This window comes from Homo sapiens, chromosome 18 (assembly GCF_000001405.40).
Source record: "Homo sapiens chromosome 18, GRCh38.p14 Primary Assembly".
NCBI classification, from domain to species: Eukaryota; Metazoa; Chordata; class Mammalia; order Primates; family Hominidae; genus Homo; species Homo sapiens.
This window is the reverse complement of record NC_000018.10, coordinates 75260689-75284685: the sequence shown is the minus strand read 5'-3', so window position 1 is coordinate 75284685 and position 23997 is coordinate 75260689. Positions and strand designations below refer to the sequence as shown.

The following is a 23997-nucleotide window of genomic DNA, read 5'->3' as shown; positions in this document are numbered from 1 at the left end:
TAGTGCTCGGTGAAGGCAGCCAGACACAAGAGGACATGTACTGCATGGCTCACCTCACGTGAGGGCCCTAGAGTTGCCACATTCATAGAAAAAGAAAGCAGAGTGGTGGCGTGTGCCAGGAGAAGGAGGGGATGGGGACAGAGTTTCCATCTGGGAAGACGAGAAAGTTCTGGAGATGGAGGGTGGTGATGGCTGCACATCAATATGAACGTTCTTAACGCCATGAAACTGTGCACTTAAAATGGTTAAAATGGTCACTTATACATTATAAATATTTTATCACAATAAAAGCTGTTTAATTACAAAAGCCCAACGGTCCACGCTCCAGCTGCCTACTACAGGCCCACGACTGCACAGCGGAGCGACTTCATGGGCTGAAGGCAGCGTTTCCCAGAGGGGCCTCCAGGATATGGAAGTTGTCCCATGGATGAGGCTGGAAGGCAGAGAAACCGAGATGAAACCTGGACTTGTGACTGCAGGACATGTCAGATCCTTCACTATGCAACACACCTTCCTAACTCCCAAGGGGAGACTACTGCAAGGAACACTGCCTCAGCTTCTTTGACCAAGGCACTTTTACTTACTTTTCCCGTCTCGAGGCAACAACTAGCTGGACTACAGTTCCATCAACAACTTGGGGTATTTGGGGTTCAGATATTTTGCAGAAAATCCCTATTAAAATGCATTCATCTGACCTGAGAGGGGTGTCTCATTAAATATCATCATTCATGATGACATCATCAGAGCCAGGGCCTGAGGGAACACGACAAGGAGCACAGACGTTTTCAGGGAGGACTGCTGGGAGGGACAGAAAACATCTTGGCCGCCCAAAGGGAGGATGCCAGGGGCAGCAGGGAGCAGTGTGAGAGCCTCAAAACCCGCAAATGCAGGGCTTCAGATTCTAGCAGCAGCCAGCACTCACAGGCACACGCATAATCACATGTGTACACACAAGCACACGCACACACACACACACAATGAGAGACGACTGAATCGGTCATGTGGAGAATCTTCTAGTTCAGGCCATCCCGAGTGCTTGCACACACTGCCCTTTTCTGCACACGACAATCTGCGCACCTGTGTTCACGCATTTCATGGAGGTATGTGGAAAAGCAGCAAAGCCAGGAATCACAATCCTGTTCACACTGTACTGTGAGTGTGGAAAATAACCAATCATGTAAGACCCCAGGCCTCAACTACGGGCATCAACATGTGGGGAATGTTCTAGATGATTCTATGACTCTCCCGTAAAATATAACGCTCATAAAATTAAAAGATAATTGCCAAGTTCAGGCACATTGTCATTAGCCTGTAATTATTAAAGGTTTAGGATGGCCCAGTTCTGAGGGTTCACTGCTAGGACCCAGGGACCCCACTTTAAGAACCACTGGTCAGACTCATCACCTTTGAACCAGCCTGGCCTGGGCCATGTTGGCTTGGGCTACAAGGTGCAGCTCCTCTGTGGATTCAGAGGGTGACTCTGAAGGCTGCAGGATGTGCTGGGCAGGGCAACGCCCAGGGGAGGCAGAAGGCCCAGGTTTAAGATGTCGGCAGGCCTGAGCATGTGCTGGCCTTGGCCCCAGGCCCCTCCCACTGTGTGCGGGAGGCCCTTCTATCAGGATCGACTATAGGAAACGGCCTCACGGCTTTCGTCAACCCATCTTTGTGAAAGGGAGTTTCATGGCCACTAATGCAAAGGAAACGTTTAGCTTGACTTGGATCTGCTCAGTTCGGGGAGCCCGTCACTGCTGGCGCACTGCTCTGTGTGCCTCTGCTCCCGGCCACAGGTGCCTGAAGGCTGCTGCACAGGCTAAACCAGCCCTCCCATGGCCCACCCCACAGCAGGCGGCCAACCTGTGTGTGCTAATAAGTGACTTTGTGTTCGTCAGCTTGGGCTACCATATCCACATACCGTATGCGGATATGGCTTGACCAACAGAACTTCCTTTCTCCCAGTCCTGGAGACTGGAAGTCCCAGGTTAAGGTCTGGCAGGGTTTGGTTTCTGGTGAGGGCTCTCCCTGGCTTGAGGATGGCAGCTCTCTCCCTGAATGGCTCTTCCTTCCAGCAGGTGGAAAGAGAGAGCTCTTCCACTTCTTTTAAGGCCACCTCTGTTGGACGACGGCCCTGTGACCGCATTTAATGTTAATTACTTCCTAAAGGCCCCTTCTCCAAATACAGCCACAATGGGAGTCAGGTCTTCCACATATGAATGACGGGGACACAATTCTGTCCTTGGCAGGCTTTCCTCTCAACACTGAAAACACAGAAATGGGAAACTTACTCTCATGCCTCTAGGTGTGTTCAACACTGACCAATCCTCATCCCCTTGCTTGGAGCAGGTGCCCACAAAGGATGAGGGTCCGGAGTCAGGGCTGCGTCTCAGGGCCTGGCCCGGCATCTCACATGGTGATGGCCTCTTCCCACACCATGCTGCACCCTCATGCTCCCAGCAGGCACAGAGCGTTGTCCAGACCACGCTCCAAGACAGTCCATTCTGCACCCGGGAAGTTCCTAGGCTGAGCTACAATGTATCTCATCGCCAATGTGTGTCAGAACAGATTGGACCTCACAGATCCACAGAACGAGAAGGCCCTCCTAAGAAGTCATCTTCCCAGCAAGCCATTTCCTTGCGCAGATGTCCACGGCCCTGTGTGGACTCCAGGGAGTGCGGACGTCGAAGGAGGGGGTCCATAAAGTCCCTGCCCTAGGGACGGGGACTCATGTCCCAGGGAAGAAGCAAAGCAGGGTGATCAGGCAGCCTCTGACCGGGTAGGTGAGGGACACTTTTGGAAGGCAGGGAGCCCCGTGTGGACCAGGGTGAAGGCTGGGCCCCCACAGGTTCGGGCTCTCCCTGCCCGCACCTAGCATGCCCCCCTTCCAGATGCCATCTGGAGGCAACTTCTCACTCCCCACCCGGTTGCACCCATGAGCAGCATGTGGCCCTCTCCCTCGTCTCCAGACCCTCGGTGACCGCTACCCGCTCCCCGTTCTGAGCTGCCGCATCCCCAGGTCTGCCTCCTGCTCTTGCCCGTTCTTACTGCAGCCTCTCTCTGGCCAATCTCACCTTCTCCACAACCCCAGGGCCTGTGCCGACCACAGCCATGAGCACCCCTGCACACCTGCCAGACACAGGCCCATCAGGGAGGACGCCTGTCATGCCACCCCCATGGTGCTTTCAGGGCCTGGCCCCATGTAGGGCCCGTGGAAGGAGCCCCACTGTTCTGCCACAGATCTAATGTGACACGGGTGCTCCACATCACACCTACGTTGTGTGCAAACAAAATGACACCCCACCGCCCTCTCCAGCACCCTCCTCCTCAAAACAACAGCACACTTTCTCCTCCTTCTGAATCTCCAGATTCAGACGTTACCGAATAACCCCAAACGAGAGTATCCGAGGCAGAAAAGCAGCGCCATCCTCAAAGCCTCCTGGTCCTCAGGCCCCGCATCCAAACTGGCCCCCCGCACTGATGACCAGCTGTGGCCAGAGCCTTCCAACGTCCCCAGATGACCTCGCTCCACTCCTGGTCCGTGACATTCTCCCTTCCAGCAGACGCTGTGCTCCCGACAACCCTGAGTGCAAGCCTTTGCTGAAGCTGCGTGTCCCAGGCAGGGCGTCTGGACCCTCACCGCTGCCCCGCCTGTGCCCAGCCCTCTGTGCCCAGCCCGCTCTATCTATCTGGTCCCAGGCAGCCCTTCCCCTGCAGGGGAGTGCCCAGTCTGGATGCCAGCCCTCCCCGACTCTCTGCCTGGTGTGAGCTACTGGGCCCTCCCTCATCCCTCCAGGGAGGCTCAAAGGTCATCTCCTTATGCCACCCTCTCAATCCCCTCACGGAATTCACCACTCCTGGAAGAATCTGGAGCTGTTACCTGTCTGTCCTCCTCATAGAGCTGTGACTTCTTTCACTCAGCTCACACGGCACAGGCTCCTGCGCCTCTGGGTTGAGTATTTTCATCCCATTGCTTCATTTAATCTCACAACCCTTTAAGCTAAGTTATCACTGAAACACCTTTTCCACAGGAAAGAAAACAGAGTCTTGGGGAAGTTGACCGACTTCCCCAAAGTAACACAGGAAACAAATGATGGAAACATGATTTGAAAGCGAGTCACTGACTCCCAGCCCTGGTCTTTCCCCTTTGCCACTATCGGGATCAAGTTATTTTCTTTTGTCTCATTAACATCTAAATGCCAGAGAAGATATGGAGTAAATGTTTTTGAATGAATGAATGACCAAAAGTAACTCTGTATTAAGTATTTAGAACAGCCATTATGTGCCAGACACAGTGTTATAAATGAGAGAATCTCAAAGAAAAAGAGTAAAGGGAGAGAAATGTTAAAACATTGATGCTCTTTAGCCCAATCATTTTATTTTTTGAAGTTAGCCTAAGAAGTTAATATGAAATGCAGAAAAAGCTTCATGCACAAAGATGTCCCTTATACAAGATGTCCTTTTACACACATAAAACTTGCCACGGTCTAAATCTTCAACAATAAGGAGTAGTTACATGAACTAGTGTTTATTCCCAGGATGCAGTATCCTTCAAACATGAGAAAGTATGTTTTAATGACATGGAGAAAATCATTAAATGAAAAAAGCAGAAGACAAAATTATATACACAGTACAAAGAGAAAATCCTTTTCAAAGAATGTTACAGTGTTTTTCTATCTAGATAATAAATACACAAGTTATTTATCATTGAATGAAGTGGTTCTTCACGAATATCTGTATTTTTGAAATCTTCAATATTTTCAGTTCAGCCAACATGGACTAGCCATTGAACACCATTACTGGAATAAATTCGCTAGAAGCAAACTTTCACGGAACGTCTACCAGCCACAGCCACAGCCAGCAGTCAGATCCCGAGAACTGGGGAGCACGGAGAATGGCAGGGCCCAGCCCGGGGCAGGAATGTTGTGAAAGGCTTTATTAATTGTTACTGTGTTTTAATGTTAAAAATGAAAGGGGATTTGGAACCATCAGGGATGCAGATGGTGTCTGGGTTGAGAACATGAGTGAGCTCCTGCCCCGCACTGCCAGAGAGGCTGTCCTGGGCTGCTCTGCCCCAGGTCCCCCAGGTCCCCAACCACAGTGGCCGCCTCCCACCGTCCTCCTGCTCCAGCTCCTCAATTCCACAGCCACTGCAGGGGGTTCTCCATCCAGCCTTCCCATGGGAGGGGCTGCAGTGTCTGACAAACAGGAGGGCCGGCGGCTCACCCACACACAGTTGTCACCATGCTAGGCCTTAGCTGATGGGGTTTGCTCACTGCTGTCCTTGCCCTCTGAACCTTCTGGCATTTATACTTTTATCATATACTCTTCCAGTTTATTGAATCCTGATCATCTTCTATTTTTCAGCTATTTTACTATTCTACTATGTTCTTTTAGCTCATCATATCTATTTTTTTAACTAGCTAAACTTTTCCCCTCTAACTTACAAGAGATGCGAGGAAGCATAAACCTTCAAGACAGCTGGGAGGACGGCCTCCCTTCCACCCCACATCACTGGGCACCATTTCTCACTAGCCCGAACCCGCCCTCCTGACCCCAAGCAGCTCTCCTGTCCCCCTCGAATAAAGCACATCCTCACCATTCTCCCACCACCCCAGGCCAGGGGCCCTGAGGCTGAAGTGCTGGTCAGAGTGGCCTCTTGTCTGAAGCTCTTGTGACCATGGAAGGGAACGGTCTTTGGGACAGCCACAGACTTAGTGGGTGCAAGGGACTCAACGACCCCACAGACGGAGGTGGGCAGGAGGGCGCCCCATGAAAGACTCCATATTAAACCTGTGACTGACTGCCGGCCTCACCTTACCCTCTTCCTCGCATCATTCCAAGACCCTTCGAGGCCTGGCTTAGTTCCAAGGACTCAATAATAATACAAATAATAATAGTAACTGGAGCCACAGCACCACCTCCGGACGACCACCTCCAGCAGCCAGCACTGGAGGACCTGCGCTTCTGATCTCCCCTGTCACAGCTGAGTGGCCAAGGACCCTCCCAAGGCTCAACCAGGCAGCAGCAGGCCAGGCTCCAAGCAGCCTCTGCCTCCCTCCACCCCCGGTCTTTCACGGTGCGCTGAGTCTTCTGGTTCTTCTGCCCCCACAGGCCCCCAACAAGGGCCCGTACCCTTCCAAAACTGGGGAGCAGGCAGAGAGCACCAGATCCCAGGGCCAGAATCACTCAGAAGGACTGAAAATCAACAGAGTTTCATTTAGAGTTTAGGACCTGGGGAGAAGGCGGCCAGGAGTCACGGGACAAAGCCTGAGATAGGAGAAATTCCAACCCAGAACCCAGGTGCCTCCAAACAGGAGCAACCCAGCACCTTGGCCTCCGTACTAGGCAAGGAAGGAGTGCTTGGATTTTGCTACGTCTGTATCAGGGAGGAATGTGCCAAATCACTTTGGGAAGCCAGCCCCCCTCCAACCCACCCCCAGGCTATACCTGTCACACACAGCAAGGTCCACTAATCCACCCTGGATGTGTGCAGGGGTGATCCAAAGGGGTGCTCCCCAGGAGCCTGGGCCTGAAAAGACAGAGTAAACTGGGGTGGGACTGACACCCCAGTGGTTCGCCTCTATGGGGCTTACACTAACGTGGCCATTGCTGTGGTTTCTTTAGTAGAACAGATCCCCCCACCCACCCCCTTAGCGTGGCAGAAGGAGAGAGAGATGGAAGGTACGGATTTGATGTCTGGAGAGCATGGTAGGAGCCCAGGCTCAGATACATACACACAGTGTGACCCGATACACTCACTCGCTCCTTGGGACCTCGGTTTCCCCACTGGAACAACCACTGTCCCCATTGGAACAATGTCTTTTGGGGTTATAGGAAGTATTTATGGCAATGACAGAATCATCACCATCAGTATGTGGCCCAACTGTGTGCTTGTCAGCTGCTGCGGTCTGAATGTTTGTATCCCCGCCCTCGAATTCCTCTGTTGAAATCTAACCCCCCACAGTAATGGCAGAAGGAGGTAGGGCCTTTAGGAGGTCACCAGGAAAGAGCCCTCAAGAACAGCATGAGTGCCCTTATTTTTTAAAAGGCTCCAGAGAGCTGGCTTGCCCCTTCTACCACATGACGACACAGTGAGATGACACCATCTACGTACACACAGGAGGCAGGCCCTCCTCACCAGCTCCCAGATCTGCTGCTGCCTTGATCTCCCACCTCCCAAGCCCAGAACTGTGAGTAATACAAGTCTGTTGCTCACAGTCCACACACAGCCACACAGTCTACGGTGCTCTGCTACAACAGCCTGAAGGAACGAGGACGCCTGCTCCTCCTCCTCCTCCTCCTCACACCCCACAGACTCACAGAATGAATCAGAAAACATCCTGCACACAGATGTGCCATCGTCCTGTGGCTATGGGAACCTGCTTAGCTTCATGCCACTCAAATAAATGGGAACAATGGGAACAAAATGATGATATGCCCATCCCAGCCCAAGCCCATCCCTTCAGTTAAGACTGAAGCTGAGCCAGCATCCGTCTTAATTGTTGTGTAGATGGTGCTCCGACAGTCAGATGTGAAATTCGGGCCATGGACCGGCTGGGCCCTTCTTGTTCTTCTTTTCCCCGTGCCTGCCTTTCAGAGGCTTTGCTGATGATTAGAGCGTCTGCCAAAGAACAGAGGAAGGAAGAGAGAGGTGGGGAAACCCACACCAGGCAGAAATGCTGTTCCTTGTGAAGAGCTCTTTGGAGGCCTGACGGAGGAGGTGGTGGACACAAATGACAGCCATGAGGTCAGGAAACTGTCTACCCAAGCTCTCTTTTCCTCATTAGCACACGTAAGTGAGAGCTGGCTGTGAAAGACGAATGGATGTTCAAAAGTGACAAACACAAACGCAGGTCTTCAGTCCCTGCTTGGTGACTGCCTTACAGTAAATACCAAATTTCACTATTGTATTGCCACCTGGTGAAACTATATAATCTTACCAAATTACATGTTTATCTAAATCAAACTATTTTGCAGACTGGCAAATGTGATACCCATGAACAGATGGCCATTATATCAAAATACATTTACTCCAAGGGGCCAATTCACAAAAGGGGCCTCCCCACACCTAAGTGATGAATGTACAGCTTCGATTCATTGTAGAATCTTACGAAACAGACTTTCTTCCAAAGTTATAATTGATCACTCATAAAGTAACGTCACCTTCGTTATGGAGAGAGCAGGTGGTTTTGATGAAAGTTAGAATACGCTGGGAAACAAAAAAATGCACAGAGAGCAGACCCAGGCAGAGTGTGGCCCTTCCTCATCAGGAAAGAAGGTAAAAATACAATATACGCACTAATTTACTAACATCGTTCTGATTCCTTGCAGGAAGACTGACACCCTGCCAAGCAAAGCTGAAAGGCTACTTTTGCTCTGACATGATAGAAAAAAAAAAACAATAGAAACAATTTTTAAGAATTTCAGAGTCTGCAAATAAAATGACCTAATGGCTTTTCCCAATTCTAATTTTAATTAGGAATCCACAGGTAACTGTTTTAAAACAAACATAATTTCTTCTTTCTCTCACTGCCCCTGAATTCAATTTCAAGTTAAGTGGGGAATAAGAAAACTAATTTAAGACCCTCTTGCTGTTCCCAATAAGCACTTTAGGTGTTAATCTTTTGTCTAGAGTTTGTCAACAATGTACTTAACAAGTAGCACAAATCAGAGCTTAAACCGTATGTAAAAGATGAAAAACTTTGATTTTCAGTGGTGTCAGGAAGAAAAAGAGGACATTATATGAGAATCTTAAAAAATTAAAAGAAGTTAAAATAAAGTGAGAACAGCAAAAAGCAAGTGACACTTCTATGCACCTGAGAGAGCACGTGGCTGTTTGCTGACTACTGGAGTGCATGTTAACACATGGTGGAAATGTTCTCTTACTCCAGAAACCAAGCTAGTCATCCCCAAGACCTGCATACCCAATGACCTGCACTCAAAACATCAGCCGATTTCAGTTTTTACCCCCACGTCTGGGGAAAGATAAATCCTACCCTGAAGCAGTCTGATGACTCCGGGTCTACAAACCCAATATTAGCCAACACCAGGTTCCAACTTGGTACTATCTGACCCCCTGAAACGAAAAAAGGACTTTCATCAGCCAGGGTAGGGCTCGCCCCAATGAGAAACATTTAGAAATCCAGAGAGGAGACTTATGCATGGCATACCTCTTCAAATGGCTGAAATGAGTGTAAAGAAACGTAACGCAGATTAAGTACTGGCTCGTTCTCTGACTACATGCTGCCAGCCATCACCAAGAACTACAAACAAACGTCGCCAAATCTACTGCTGCCTGATAACCCAGTTACCTTCACAGCACTGCACGCTGTACTCTTGCAATACTTTAACACAAAGTTTATTCCAAAAAGGTGAACTTCTACAGGCCTTTCCAAGGGTCTCAGAGGATGGGAGTGAGAAATCAAGGAGTGAAGGGGTCTTCCACAGTCTCCAAAACCCACAAAGGGCTTATGTCTCAGAATATGTCTCCATTTTAAAAGCCAGTAGCTTATTCCCATAAACACACAGGAACAGAAGAGAAATGGGAATGCCAGCCTCTAGGCCGTCGCGGCATGGATGTAGGCAAGTGGCAAGGACGTGTACCAGGCACCTGTGCTGCTACTGATGGGAGACTAGCACTAACATCCAGCACAGGGTTAGGAGAACTTTTATCTTTAAAAGTGGCTACGGACAGAAATTATTTATCAGTGTGATGAACCATGAGCTAACACATCCTGCATAATTGTCTCTATACTTGACTGGAAACCAAACAGAGGGTAACATGACACCTGACTTTACTTAAATCCTATTAGTAACAATATTTGGTGTCTGAATCAAAAGTTATATCAACACTATCATGACAGAAAATAAAATTCTTTATCTTAATAATTAGGTTTATTTTTACTATTATCAGTGAATTCTCATAATTGCTTTACAAGATGCCGTTTTTAAAAAAAATTACTTTGGCAGAGAGAGAGACAGACAGACAAAGATATAGAGAGACATAACAACTTACAAGTTTAGCTAATTATTTGTGACAATCCTTTGTTTTCATTATAAGCTACAATTTTCCAAAAATCTTTTGTTTTCACTATAAGCTACAGTTTTCTAACAATCTTTAGTTCTTATGGGTACAAATGTACTGGAATATATTATGATATTTGTAGAAATGCTTATTTCTAGTGATTAACCTATCAGAATATCCTTTACCAGGGGAATGAATACAATCTTTTAGACTAAAAGATTTTTATAAGAGAGGCCACTGAATCACAGAAAATAGTCACCACCTCTGCATTTTCTCCACTACACCCTCACCGTTGGCGTCACCAGCCCCCCACCATCACCCCACCTCCACCTCATGAAAATCTGATGAATGAGTAAGCTTGAAAATGGTAACTGCAGTATGAAATTCTTCTTTTACAATTACGTATAGAAATAAATGACATTTTTCCCCATCAAATAAAACAAAGACTCCAGATCATCATTTTTGCTATTTCTTTTTGTGTCAAAACAGCTTTGCCATCACTCCCCCACCCTTCCTGAGCCTAGCACGATGGTGCAGAATGTGACAGTGTGAGCGTGTACAGTGTGTCCTGCCATCGGGGGGACACGCACAGCACCCTACAGACCGCAAGGAACCGTATGAACCAGCAAGCACCAGCAGCCCAGGAGGAGGCGCCGCCGGCCTTCACGCGCATGCATGTGTGGGTGGGTGTGGGTGTGCGAGAGTGCACGCGTGTGCGCACACAGGTGTGAGTGTGTGCAGGTGAGTGTGTATGTGCATGGGTGTGAATAAAACATTTAAAATTATAGAGGCCCTACCATTCCCAAAATGGAAATGGGACAACTGGATCTGATGGTTAGACTTCATTCTTTAATTAAATCTTGTTAATATTTGTTGTCATAAAATGTGCCTTCTGGATGCCAATGTGTGCCTGAAGATATGCTGTCATCCTGAGCAACATGAAATTCTGTGTGTTCTAATGTGAGTGGACATAAGGCAATGTATACGGTCCCTGTTAGAGCCTCATATGACACCAACAATGTGTGAGCTGACGGTTTACAACGTAAACACACATACACCGTCTGAAAAACATTTTCATCTCAAATTGTAATTATATGAGGCACAAACATCATACCTTTAGCAAATCAGATAAAAATTATGTTTCTCAATTTGTAGCCCAACATTGTTTAAAACATCTTTGTTTCTTTAAAGAAAACAAGACTCACTCTAGTCAACAGTCATTTTTAGGGATGGGTGAGAAGTGACAGCTGTATTTGTTTTTTAATGGCTAAATGTGGTGAAGTTGCAAATTCCCTCGAGTCTTAATAACACTGGCTCTGAGCAATTAGGTTTGTTTTCTCCTCGAACTTGCATCTTAATCTGTACCCCAATTATGCACAAAATAAAGGTGTTTTCTTAAACCATCCTGTTTTATATTCCATAAGAGGCGAACACTCCCAGAACGCTGCCTCACTGTTATCGCTGCTCTGTGGATAGATGAACAAGTGTGGGTGCTTTGCTAAAGAGCTGAAGCAACAATAGAAGAAAGGCTTCCCTGAACATGCTCTGCTTTCTAAAAGTCAGCTTCAAATCTATGCTGAAAAATCTAGCAGACACCCCAAATACCCACACGCACTATGGAACATCCCTGTACCCCATCTCTTCCTCCTCGGTGGCAAAATATCCTGATGAAAAGCAGAAGGTGTGTCCCCTTCATAAAAGGTGCTCAGCTTTTGCAATGTTCCCAAATTTGGATGTTTGGAATCATTGGGATATTAGCATTTAATATGACAGGCCAGCTGACTAGGTGTTTCCATTTCTAACTCATCTGGATAGTAAATAACACTGTCTACATAGGAGAAAGGTAGAAATACTGGAAAATACAATGTTCAATTGCAGCATTTTAGAATGAAAATATGTTGAACAACCCACATTAACATACTTGGATTGACAACGACGCTATGGGACACGTATTCCCCTTGCTAGATGACCTGATATTCTCTCTAGAAGGAGAGTACAAGTATAGGGATACAGTGACAAGGAATTGAGTTCCAACTTAAATTCTTTTTAAATAGCACTAGCAAGCCAAGTGAAATGGCTCTTCTTCACATTAACAACTTAAAGAAGTAAAGTGACTCTCTAGGCAAAGAGAAGGCCACTCTGAAAGAGGATTATTTCCAATTACAAAGAAATGAGGAAAATACCAGTTCTCCTTCCTCCCTTTAAGTTTTAGCAGAGTCCTAAGAAATCTAGTAGAATCGCCCTGTGGTTTTGCCCAGCTGAAGATGAGCCTGGCAGGCAGCCCATCAGAGGGGTGCACACAGATCCCTGGCCCTCCTCCCCTCTTTCCCTCTCATCCTCCCTTAGAATGAAAAGAGCACGTTATTAGCTAAAGGTCTGCAAAGGAGACCAAGGCGCCTCGCGTGCCGGCGCAGTTCTGCAGGATTCTCATCTCTCAGACCTGCGTGCTCTTCCTCTTCTATCTGATAAACTATACATCCGAGCATTCTCATTAGGGCTCCCATCACCAAAGGGAGTGGAGATGAATCGGTCTATGCCCCCTCCCCTCTCTGCTCTGTCGAGATGATTTCATTGAAATGTTCATTTTCATCCCTGCTGGCAACATTGGAATGGAAGTATTTAACCTGTTTCCATTACTTATACAAATTACCATTATGGGGTAGGACAGATGTTAGAATCACGCCACATAACTGACTTCCATACATTCTTTACAGGAAGCGAGCGGAGAAGGAAGGCAGCTAGATCATATTATCCGGGCTCAATAATGTTCTCTCTGTTACCAGATTCATTAACTTCGCACATCAGCATTTCACTTTCTTTCTTCGTGGAAATTCCCAGGCTAGTTGGACTCATTTAATTTGGAGAGAGAAACCTTTGTCAGTGATAATGTTTTGATCAGGTGCGTTAAGGGGGTGGGGAGGGGACCAGGAAGCGGGGAGGGGGGAGCGGCAAGAAAAAAGAAGAGGGGGAAGAGGAAACAACCTTGTCGAAAATGCTACCTTCCCAACATGAATGATAAAAGAGAAGTCAGTTAGAGACGCGGGGGCTCAAAGATGGCTGTCACTTCAGATAGGCACGGGCACAACTCACCTAGACAGGTGACACTTTGGTGGAGCAAAATCCTGCTGCATTATTGAGCACACCAGGGATGGGGCTCAGGAAGACACAGGCCCAGGGTGCCTGGGGCACCCAGAGAAGTGAATTCTGCAGGTGAGTGGATTTCACTCTTCATTTGCATCCTTGAGTGAAGCGAGAGATAAAGTTTCCCAGCTAAAAAGATGGAAGAAGGTGCTTCAGTCCTAGTCTGGGTTCAAGCCTCAAGCATTCTTCACAGTATTCCTCCTTGATCTATCCGAAGGAGAGGCTGGAGGGATGCCCACTTAACGAGGTGATACGCAGGGCCCTTATGCTAGTCATTACTTGCATTTTCAAAAATTTAGTATAAACAATTCCTAGTCTAAGGATATTTTCTCCTATTTCTTCTGATCGGCTGCCTGTGAGGTCCCTGAGTCCACGCTGCAACCACGTCTCTAGACACAGACTATAAGTGGGATTCCTGGAGAATGCACAAGGTTTGGGTAACACAATTTCTAAAATAAATGATGCATTCATGGGGCATAAGAAACAAAACAAATTCTATCCCATTTGTTTCTGCAGGAAAGTCTCTTACTGAGACCAGCTGAAGCAAGCACAGGTCCTCAACTCCCAACTTTTAACTTCATTTCCGTGGTTCTCTCTTTCCCTTCGGCCTCCTTTGGTTCTGCTCATGAAAATGCTTGGAGAACAATGTTGAGTGTGCTTCACTTAATGAAAACAGACGGGGAAAGAAAAGATTCAGAAAAAAAGAAAATACATTAAAAAAATCTAAACTACACCATGGGAGTGGGCTAAACAGTGGAAGTTATTAAAGTCAAGTCAGAGTAGGAAAAAAGGATATTTGATGCTAACAGTTCCTAAATACTCACGACAGTAGCCTGAAAGAAAACAGTATACACATGCAAATATACTCTCTGTAGAAAGGGTAAGAAGCCCACTCCAATCATCAGAAGCAATTTTTTTCCAGTGGCAATATTGAAATCTAATCTCAAATAGGAAGCAAATATATTCTTGGATAATGATCCACCTGGATAGAGAAGGGTATTTTCCCAGCACACTTGTAATTTATTTGGGAGGACTATATTTGAGAGAAAAAAATTATTTGTTCTTGGATAAACATTTCATACCCACAGAATATCTGCTCAACCAGCGTTATGCTTTGCATTAAAATGTCATTGAATAATAACAAGTTAATATCTGTTGAACCCTTCCTCTGGACCAGCCACCATCGTAAGTACTCTACATGTATTAACTGTGTTAGCTCCTCACTGACACTACAAGGGGAAATCCTATTTCACTCTCTATTCCCATATGAGGAAACTGAGGCACAGAGGTTAAGTGAGGTGCCCCAGGCCATGCCATCAGTAAGACAAGGAGCAGGGGCTTTACCTAGATGGTCCACCCCACAGCCGGGGGTGGACACACAACCTGACACACAATCATAATGCCGCAATGGGCCATCTCTATCAGCAACTGTAAGTGGCATGAGTTTAAAACTGATTCCAATTTCGGAATAGGCTGTTTGCAAAATCAGGTTCTTGTCTACATGAAAGTCAACAAAACTGGTCTTGGGTAGTTCTCCCTAAAAGTTCTGGTCACATGTATCCGCTATGACAGGCTACAGAGGACACTATTTTCAGGACTGCCATTTATGGGATGGCTACAAAGCCCTGTCGGAATCTGTTTCCAGCCACGTCGACTCAGGCTTCATCACAGAGACAGAAGGTAGAACGGTGGCTGCTGGGAGCCAGGGGGGCTGGGAACGAGGGGTACTGTTCAATGGGTACCGAGTTTCAGTTTAGTTTGAGAAGATGAAAAAGTTCTGGGAATGGATGGGGTGGTGATGGCTACACAGCAATGCAAATGTATTTAATGCCACTGAACTGTACGCTTAATAAGAGTTAATATAATTTTATATATCGTATCAATTTTGTACATTTTACTACAATAGAAAAATAAGAGGATCAAAAACGTCTGTTTCCAACCACACCAGCCAGGCTCCCTCTGTGGAGTCAGCTCTGCTCCACCCGACAGCTGCCCCTCGACAAACAGGCTCCAGCATTGCCACCTGCCAGCCTTCAGGGCCCTCCCCCAACTTCCCCCAGCTCATGATTCCCCCACACCCTGCAGCCACTTAATCATAGCACAGGGGAGGTAACCACGGGTCTAGTGATCTGTCTTCCTGCTGGGCCAGGTCTCCTTGAGCACAGAACCACATCGTAGTGGACCTTGGATCCTGGCAGCTAACATGGTGCCTGGAACAAAGTAGCTGTTCCATAACTACAGGCTGGATAGTGAATTACAGAATGAGCAGACGCTGCATGTAATCCAAAGCAAACTGATGCAGATAAATGCACTGAGGCTGTGGCTTTTTTCCATACATGTGATGTCAATTTCCATGTGGCCCAATCACCTGGGAAGGTGAACCCTGCTGTATTAGAGCAGAAATACTTCTTTTATCAATCTCTAGCATAAAATACGTGTTTCAGGAGACTTTTTTAAAAATCGTATTTCCAGTATGCTGGCCACCTAGCCCATGTGGCAGTCAACATGAAGCCTCACTGTCGTCAATCAAACACAGTTCTTCCCAAGTTCTGAAGGCTCTAATGATTTGACTGTGAATAGGAACAACACATCAACTGGAATCATAAAGAGAGGAAAATGGGGTGGAAAAGGGAAAAACAGCCACTCTGAAATCCTGTCTCAGAAGATCCATCTTTCCTGAGTTGTGCCTCCCTTTAAATCAGTAAGAATATCTGTCAGAGACATCGCGCTACACCATTTGGCTGATGTCAAACCTAAATAAACCAGATCAGAAAACCAGCAAATGGCAGGAGGGAAATGAATGGGCACAGAGCAGTCTCACTGTAACTCGCATGGTTTGCTCGCTGATTTTTTGGGGAGGGGGAGGAGGGAAGTCGTGGCAATCACCGCAGTCATTTGCAGTACTAATGTCCAATTCAGCCTCCTTTCATTCCCCTGATTTAGGTGGTCAGAGTGGTTTTGTAGCCGACACGGGGAAGCTGCGCTGTTTAGCAGGCAGTTTAATGGGAAACTGGCAGTCTTATTTCTTTTCTAGATTTGGTTTGTCACTAGGTCTCCATTACATGCCACTCAGCTTTGATGTCTTTGGACAGGACTGATCAAAAGATGTCATTTGACCTACACAGCATGGCAGAAACTTGGAGAAGTCTCATAAAGCGACACTCTGGCTGTAAATAAAATGACATTATTATTTCCTCTCTCCTATCATGTAGAAAAGCCAATTATGGTAATGCACGGCATGTCAATGAAAATACAGCAATCTTTCTGGAGCAGCGACTGCAGGCATCAGTGCTGCAACTCTCCTTCCTGGGAAAATCTGCCCATTGGAAAATGAAGAGGAAGGAGGTGATAGATGTCTTAAAGACGGTTAATAAAACCCTGGACAGCCAAGAAAAGTGCAAGTCAGCAAAACAATTGGAAGTGCAAAATGCAAACTGTTAAGTTTCCAAATTATCTAATAATTTAATCTTTGGTGATTTATATTCTGTCACCAAAACGGCCAGTATCATGTCCTGCATTTCTGAGCATTTGACTGACAGGAAGGGCGATTTATATTGTTAATAACCCCCTTCGAACCCACTTCTTCTTAAGGAAGCTGACTCAGAGGGGAGGGGAAATTCTGACCTTGTCCCTGAGATTCATTTAGAAGTTGCAGTCATGAGGTGTAGTGCTGTCTGCCCTGTGTCGAGGAGACGATGTAAAATGTCATACAGGATACTGTGCTGCTATTGTTTCAGAATGCCCGATTTTATGCATCTCCACTTGTGCAAAACATTCACCATCTTTCTCATACTCAAGCATGTGTCAGAACTGAATATGCATACGAAAGGTCTCTCTTCCTCTTTTCAGAAGCATTTCTTATACCCAGCATCATTTCTGTGAGAAACGGCTATCATTTAACAGTACCTGCTTATTCACTCCATTTAGGAAAGAACTGAACTCCTTCCCTCTCCTTTATCCTCTCTCCTCCTAATGTCTCCTCCTAATTCGAGACACTCGAAGCCTATTGCCCGTGATGTGTTTCAGGACCCACTGGCGCAGCCCCACCACTGTTTACGCTCTGGAAGCAATGAGCAGCGTTCCATCTCCTTGAATCCCATCTCTGGTTCTTATTCCATATGCCAAACCTCTGAAGAAACCCTTACCACTAAGCCCACACACAGTGTGGCTGCCTGACTCCACGGTCTATGGGTGAGATGGGGTCTGTCTGTTCTGTGACTATCCTATGTGTCCAAGATGCAGCATCAACCTGTTTTTGGTTGGCATCATTTCTTCAACTCGGAAAAAGACGGCTTCACACCAGCTTTCGCAGGATTATGAGCAGAGCTGCAATGTAAAATGAGGTTTTCCCCCAGAGGACACATTTTAGTATTTCTGTAATCATGGTGTATATTCATTTTAAGAAAAAATAGAGCCATGCAATTTGTGTCCATTGAAATCAAGGAAATAAAGCAATTTTCAGAGCTACTAAGTCTATAACAGAAATAAAAACTTTTTGGCTATGTCAGAAAATTTTGAAAATGCTCTTAATTGTTTGGGTAAAAGAAATTTCATTATGACAAGTCATTTCTAAGCACACACTGCAACCACATCTTTTTTCCCTGCAATTTAATTTTGGTGCATAATACAGTGCAGATTAAATTTAGAAGCTTCATCACATTTTAGAAACTTTAAATAATATTCTTTATGTCAATACTGCCAGGGGCGTAACAAGATCTGACATTTGTAAGGCTACAAATTGCACTGAACACAGTCCCAGGGAGTCCCCGCCAGGACTCAGCGCCCAGCTCCTGCAGGTGATCTATAGGAGCCCACAACTACAGTTCTTGACTCAGGCACCATCAATTGCAGTCTGCAGGTGGTAGGTGAAAGAAAATTTAAGCTGTTCAATTTTAGTGCCACTTTTTGGCTTTCAAAAGACATCCTTATGTTTCAAGAGAATATAAGACTGTGACCTGTTTTCCTATCCTCTGTTGTGCTTCCTGAGGACTGCATTAATTACTATTACTTCTACATACAAGTTGGATTTCTGTTCATGAATATTCTAGCCAAGGTCTGTAAGGAGCTCACACCCACCCCTCCTCGAATCTCCTGCCTCATTACATGGGGACCTATGTTATCTGCACACGAACTCAATGAAAGGGTACTCTGTGAATTCTTGTTTTTACTTGGAGGCCTAGTATTATCTACAACCTATGATCAATCCACTGCATTGAAGTCAGAGGCTTTCCTCAAAGAGCTACTGTTTGATCTATTCCTAACTTGGAAAGAGAACTCTAGAACAGATGAGTTGACTTCGACAGCTAAGTGTGAGGACAGGGTGAGGCCCTAGCACCGGGCTGCAAGTCTCCTCCCACACCACATGTGTATCATGGGCTGTGGTCTGTCACCCTTCTAGTAAACCTTGTCCAACGGGACAGCATCGATCACTCACCCGGGGATGGGGACCTCTGCGGTCTAGGCTCAGGACACCAAAAAAGGTGAGCAGTGCAGGTCTCTGTGCAGTAATACAATGTTGATACCATTTGCTTTAATTAAGAGTTTCCTCAGGCTAGAAGGCTCGGTTCTTTCCAAAGAACACTTTTGTAAACTGATTCCCAAATCCGACAAGAAAAAAGACGGTGTATTGTTAAGCAATCCTAGAAAAGTGTATTTCAGTAAATATAAGTACTTTATTGCCTTTTAGGTGGGAATTCATGAGATTCGAGTAAGGGGGGGAAATAGTAAATTCATCATCGGACAAGAAAATGACAAAGCATTTCTGCATTTCTGAGCTTGGAAGGGGTCTCGTCTAGAAAGTGAGAGGGAATGAGATGGGGGAGAAGCAGATTTATCCACTGGATGTTTCATTCTCTACCCCAATATTAAATTTTATGTGGGGAATCTAGGAGTTTAAAAGCTTCACATTTTTGCGTAATAAAAAAGAAATACAATATCCTGTTGCTATGCACAGTGACACTTTATGCAGCAAAGAAAACCATTCTCCTTAGCTATTCTTTGAAATACGACCTACGACGTCATTTAATTTTTGAAAACCCTAAGGTCATGTAACACACTTTCTCTGTCATTTGTAAGTACATTAACTCAGCGGCCATACGACAGTGAAATTATGATAATGGGTTGCTAAAATGGGTCAGGCAGGCATCGCATTTCATGTTAGCTTCAAACAACCATCAGGACGCAGCCCAAATCAAATATGACAGTAGAAAAGCACAGTTTACTTTTCTTAAAGTGTTTCTACTTACTCAAGCACACATACATGACGAGCCAAAGGAATCCCACCTCAGTGAACTACAAGAAAACATTCCACTCAAAGACAAATTTCTCTTAAAAGTCTTTTTTCTTTTTTTGCTTTAAAACTCACAGATGTCGAGATAAAAGGGAAAGAAGAGGTCAAAGTGGGCTGCTTTCCAAAACATTTCTCTACCACGGTCCAAGATTTGAACAAGTGGGATCACATTCTGCATGTAAAATTGCTCTATGAAATTAAAATATTTTAAAACAGAAGCATATTTAACGTACCAATTTAAGCCAAAAAATCTCTCTTAATAACACTTGTTTTGTGCTGAACTCTTGTGAGAAGTGAGAAGAAACAGAAAGTAGAAATTTATTTTAGCTGTGGATAGTACATCTTTGCCTAAAGCGTAATTGAGTAAAAAATGCCTAGAATTCATAACTAGAAATGTTTGTCTCCTCAATGTCAAAAAATTCCTTCTAAAATAACAGATTTGACACTAAAGTTTAAGAATAAACTTTTAAAAAGACATTTAAGTATGCATACCCTGATAAGCTTATCCTGACTCGCTTCCATAATCCCGTATCTACACAGTTCCTTCCCTTGAACGCAGTAGCTGGCCTTCAGTTGGCCCAGGTATCATGCTTCTGATTCAGGAGACCCTGCCAAAGAACTCCACCTCACAGCACAATCACCTCGGGCTCAGAATTAAGTTGCTAACTACCTATGTATCAGAGTGCAATTCCTTTTAAATAGCCCTTTCCCTTTCTTCTCCTTCTCCTACACTTAAAAAAAAAAAAAAAAAAATCTGTCAGTGTAATAGTTCCTGGGAGAACGCTAAGCATGAGGTTGATGAACAGAAAGGCACAGAAACACCACCCGCATGCAAAAGTTATCTGAACGGCAGAGATAATTGCTAAAGTAATTATTTTGATAGAAGCCAGCTGAAAGCTTCTGTAGTGTATTTTACTATTCCCGTTAAGGGTAAACTATCCATTTCAGATATATGCTATCCACGAACATATTTACTGGATGACATATTGTTTTCAATTTCTTTTTGGAAAAATAATCATATCAAAAAGCAGGGACTTAAAGAGGACAGCCAGCTAAATATATTTTTAACACATACTTCTGATTATTGTACTATCATCTTATAAATGAGTGGCACTATGTGATCTTATGAAGCAGTATCTCCAGTCTATAAAATAACGCTGCATTTATAGCAAAGAGAAAAAACATAAAGGATATTCTGGACTATTCTATGGTTAGCATCAGCTTCAGCTCCTTGAAATGGGTGGAATTGATGGACAATGGAATAGAATGTAGTATAACTACAGTAGCCTTGAGCAAAGACACAATTATAGCTGAAAAGCATCTTAGATGCCTGACTGTTGCTAGCATCATGGTATAAATCAACAGTTGCTTCTTTCCTTTTCCTCTGCAGCTTCCTCCCCTCCAAACTCAAAACACAGAATCTTCCAGTATCAAAAACTTAGTAAAAGGTCATTTTGTTTTCCTCAATACTATAAAAATAGCATAACTGGATCTGACATCCATATGTAAATCAGCTCAAGAAAACACTGATTTTCCTTCACACTGAATTATTGTATCTGTATGAAATGTTGATACAAACAACATAACAAACAAAAAATACCATCTCTGTGGTTTAATCCCAAGATGAAATAAGAAACATAGACATATTGAACATGGTTACTGTCTCTTGGCACCATCACTAAAGCAAACCAGTTCCTTAACTGATAAGTACATAATTTAATTATGTTAAGAGTTAGGAATGCTAACATTCACTTGCAAGAAAAGGGATTTATAAAATATACAACAAGGTGTCAGAGAATATATTGATTATTGATAACTTATTTATACCGATATTTAACACAAAACAAATGGGAGTATGTCTCTACGAGACTGAGAAAGAACAAAGGAGACATTATTTAAATGGTAGTGATGTAAATGGAAGTGCAGGTAGACCTAGCACTTCACGGTCCTCAAAAAGGTGTCATAAGTCAAAGCGATAAAAGTTGAATTTGGTTTCACCCTAGAAATAATCTTAGCTTGCTAGATTACATTCCAGATGATTTCATGCCCTGAATTTTTTTAAAAAAAGATATGACCACAAGTAACATGTTTAATCAAATATTTAACGAACCTGCATACTGAATAGTATGAAGCTTCCTGACGCACAACACATTGACTGTGGAGGCAGCATGGCTTAAGAGAAAGAGCTCTGGACTGTTACCCAGAAAACCGGCCTCTTGTCTTAATCATACGACACTGCTGGGAAACTTGAAGAGGGTCCATAATCTAGCCTAAGTCTCTGTGTCCTCATCAATGAAAATGGCAGGGTTGGAGCAGATGATCTCTAAAAACCACTGTGACCTGAAAATGTTCTCTGAGCCCCTCGAAGGTCAGAAGCACAATGCCATGTACAGGGCACAGATGGAAGAGAGGGTGGTAATGCTTCTCAAGGAGAAGAATGGAGCCTCCCTGAATCTAAACAGATTTCAAAAGGCACAGGAAGAGGAAAGACGCTGAGAAGAGGAACTACATAAGGGGAGGCATGGCCACCAGAGACTGTGTGGCACTTGGAAACAGAGAAGTGCCCTGCTGCCATCCCAGAGTGAACGTTGCATTTGCTTTTGTTATAACAGGACCACTCTTGAGGCCAGATATATGCTTAATGCAAGCGTATTTTATAGAGAATAAATACTATTTTCTCAGGTTTAAAAGAACAAACCTGATGGTCCTAGCCAAGAGGCCAATTGACGATTTACATTCATATCATAAGCCTGTAAGCCACACTCTCCGTGTCTATATAGGCTATAGTCTGGGTAGCACCTGTAACAATGCTTGGCACACACTTGGTGAATATTTGTTGAATAAATAAAAGAAAAAATATAGAAAAGCATATACAATTATCTTTAATATGACTCAGTGTCATGTAGTACAACACAGTACCTTACTTCATCATTCCTGCCATGGTCTTTTGTTTGTTTGTTTTGTATTTTTTATAGTATCACTAAAGGGGAAGGCAGCTCCTTAAGGTCTATAGTGATCACAATCTTCTGGTAACCTATTGGAGCAAAATAAATGCTTTCTGAGAAATCAGGAGTTTTGCTTCACCAAGCTCTTATTTCAGTGTAAATTTCTTCCTAAAAAGGAAAGCCTCAGAGACCAGTTTTGCATCTCTCAACTGGCTCTGAGAGTCTGTCAGCTTTTTCAGGCCACCATCTCATCGAAACCAGCAGCTTCCCCCTGCACTCTGAAGTCACACCAGGCACAACCCCTGTCTCCTGGAGAGAATACAGGTCACTCCTCCAACTCTTCCTTCTCAACACCAAAAGCCTCAAGGGTTTGGCTTGAATCATGGCCAAACGCCATATGAGTTGTAGCTACTTATTTGCTTGTTCATTACACTTTAAGTTGATTTGTAAGGTTATCCTATATGGAAATTAACACGCACCCCCGACGTCAAAACTCTCATTTGATTTCAAATACCCAATAGCAAGTCTTTTCATTTCAGCCAAAGGTCCTACAGCATTCAAATGATGACAGCAGCTCTTAGAAGTGCACTGTGACTTCCTCTTATCAGTCATTTAAGAACTGAATACACTATGTAACTATGAAATGAGAAATTACGTTGTAAACAAGATAGAACCAGAAGCCTTGAAGAAAGCCACACCGAACTCACAGGCTGTGCACATGTCAATCTGGGCAGCAGCCCCTGCTGGAAGCAATGGCCACCCTCTTGCTCTGTGGCTGTGCTGAGGGACTGAGGCTTTCTCACCTCTGGTCGTCTCATCCAAGGTTGAGCTGATGGTCGTAGTGCATGGGTCAGGCCATGTATCAAAGGTGCCAGTATGAGCTGACAAGACTCCTGACATTCTTTAGAGAATGTCTTTCTGTAAAGAGGTGACTGTTGTCCTTCAAAAGAATCACCCTGGGAAGGCCATAAATGTGTTACAATGATGTTGTCATGAGTCAAAGCATTTTTGGAAGGTCTCTATGGCAGAGTTAGACAGCAAGTCTCTTAAGAGATACAGTTCTCTTACCTACTGTCCCAAATCCTCCACCCTTTCCCATCTCTCCTTTCCTTTTCCTACTTGGCGGGGTAGTAGTCCTTAGAGTTGTTTGTCAACACTCAGGTCCTGCTCCTCCGGGTACATCGCGGAACTGGACTTCTCTGTCTCCGTGGGAGGAGATGTGGCCAATGAAACGTGAGCGGAAGTGATACAGTTTCACTCCCGGGGGAAGCCCATACACCCCACCATGCTCCTCCTGGCCGAGATCCACAGCCAGGAAAAAGGGACGCGCGTCCCATGGATTGAGAAATGTCCATCCATTTTCCTTTGACATTAGAGCTCCTGTAAAGAGAGTAGGTATAAAACTAAGAGAGCACCTGAAGTCAAGCCACCTGTGGGTGCCTCGAACTTGGAGAGGTAAGGCTTCCCTGGTATATCACCACCACGGCCATAAGCTTGGGTCTGATGCCTGGGCATTCAACCAGGGCGTGTTTCACATCAATGTTGACTGAAGGAGTCACAAAGGCAAAACTGAGGAGCATCCAGGAAACTCCCAGTGAAAAGGC

At 45.0% G+C, this 23997-nt stretch overlaps 1 protein-coding gene across 2 annotated transcripts in view, besides 4 other annotated features; it reads right to left on the bottom strand.

Annotated features, from left to right (window-relative positions):
• TSHZ1 (teashirt zinc finger homeobox 1) overlaps nt 1-23997 on the bottom strand; it is a 79148-nt gene that overhangs the window by 5259 nt on the left and 49892 nt on the right. The gene's annotated exons all lie outside the window — the stretch shown is intronic.
• Nucleotides 5155-5656: an enhancer, noted in NCBI's record as "H3K4me1 hESC enhancer chr18:72990985-72991486 (GRCh37/hg19 assembly coordinates)". NCBI's record gives its function as "activates a minimal SCP1, AML or CMV promoter by ChIP-STARR-seq in primed H9 embryonic stem cells {active_cell/tissue: H9 hESC(primed)}" and the evidence as "EXISTENCE:reporter gene assay evidence [ECO:0000049][PMID:30033119]".
• Nucleotides 10137-10636: an enhancer, noted in NCBI's record as "H3K4me1 hESC enhancer chr18:72986005-72986504 (GRCh37/hg19 assembly coordinates)". NCBI's record gives its function as "activates a minimal SCP1, AML or CMV promoter by ChIP-STARR-seq in primed H9 embryonic stem cells {active_cell/tissue: H9 hESC(primed)}" and the evidence as "EXISTENCE:reporter gene assay evidence [ECO:0000049][PMID:30033119]".
• Nucleotides 10637-11138: an enhancer, noted in NCBI's record as "H3K4me1 hESC enhancer chr18:72985503-72986004 (GRCh37/hg19 assembly coordinates)". NCBI's record gives its function as "activates a minimal SCP1, AML or CMV promoter by ChIP-STARR-seq in primed H9 embryonic stem cells {active_cell/tissue: H9 hESC(primed)}" and the evidence as "EXISTENCE:reporter gene assay evidence [ECO:0000049][PMID:30033119]".
• Nucleotides 22536-22585: an enhancer, noted in NCBI's record as "active region_13506". NCBI's record gives its function as "activates an Ori minimal core promoter by ATAC-STARR-seq in GM12878 lymphoblastoid cells {active_cell/tissue: GM12878}" and the evidence as "EXISTENCE:reporter gene assay evidence [ECO:0000049][PMID:35858748]".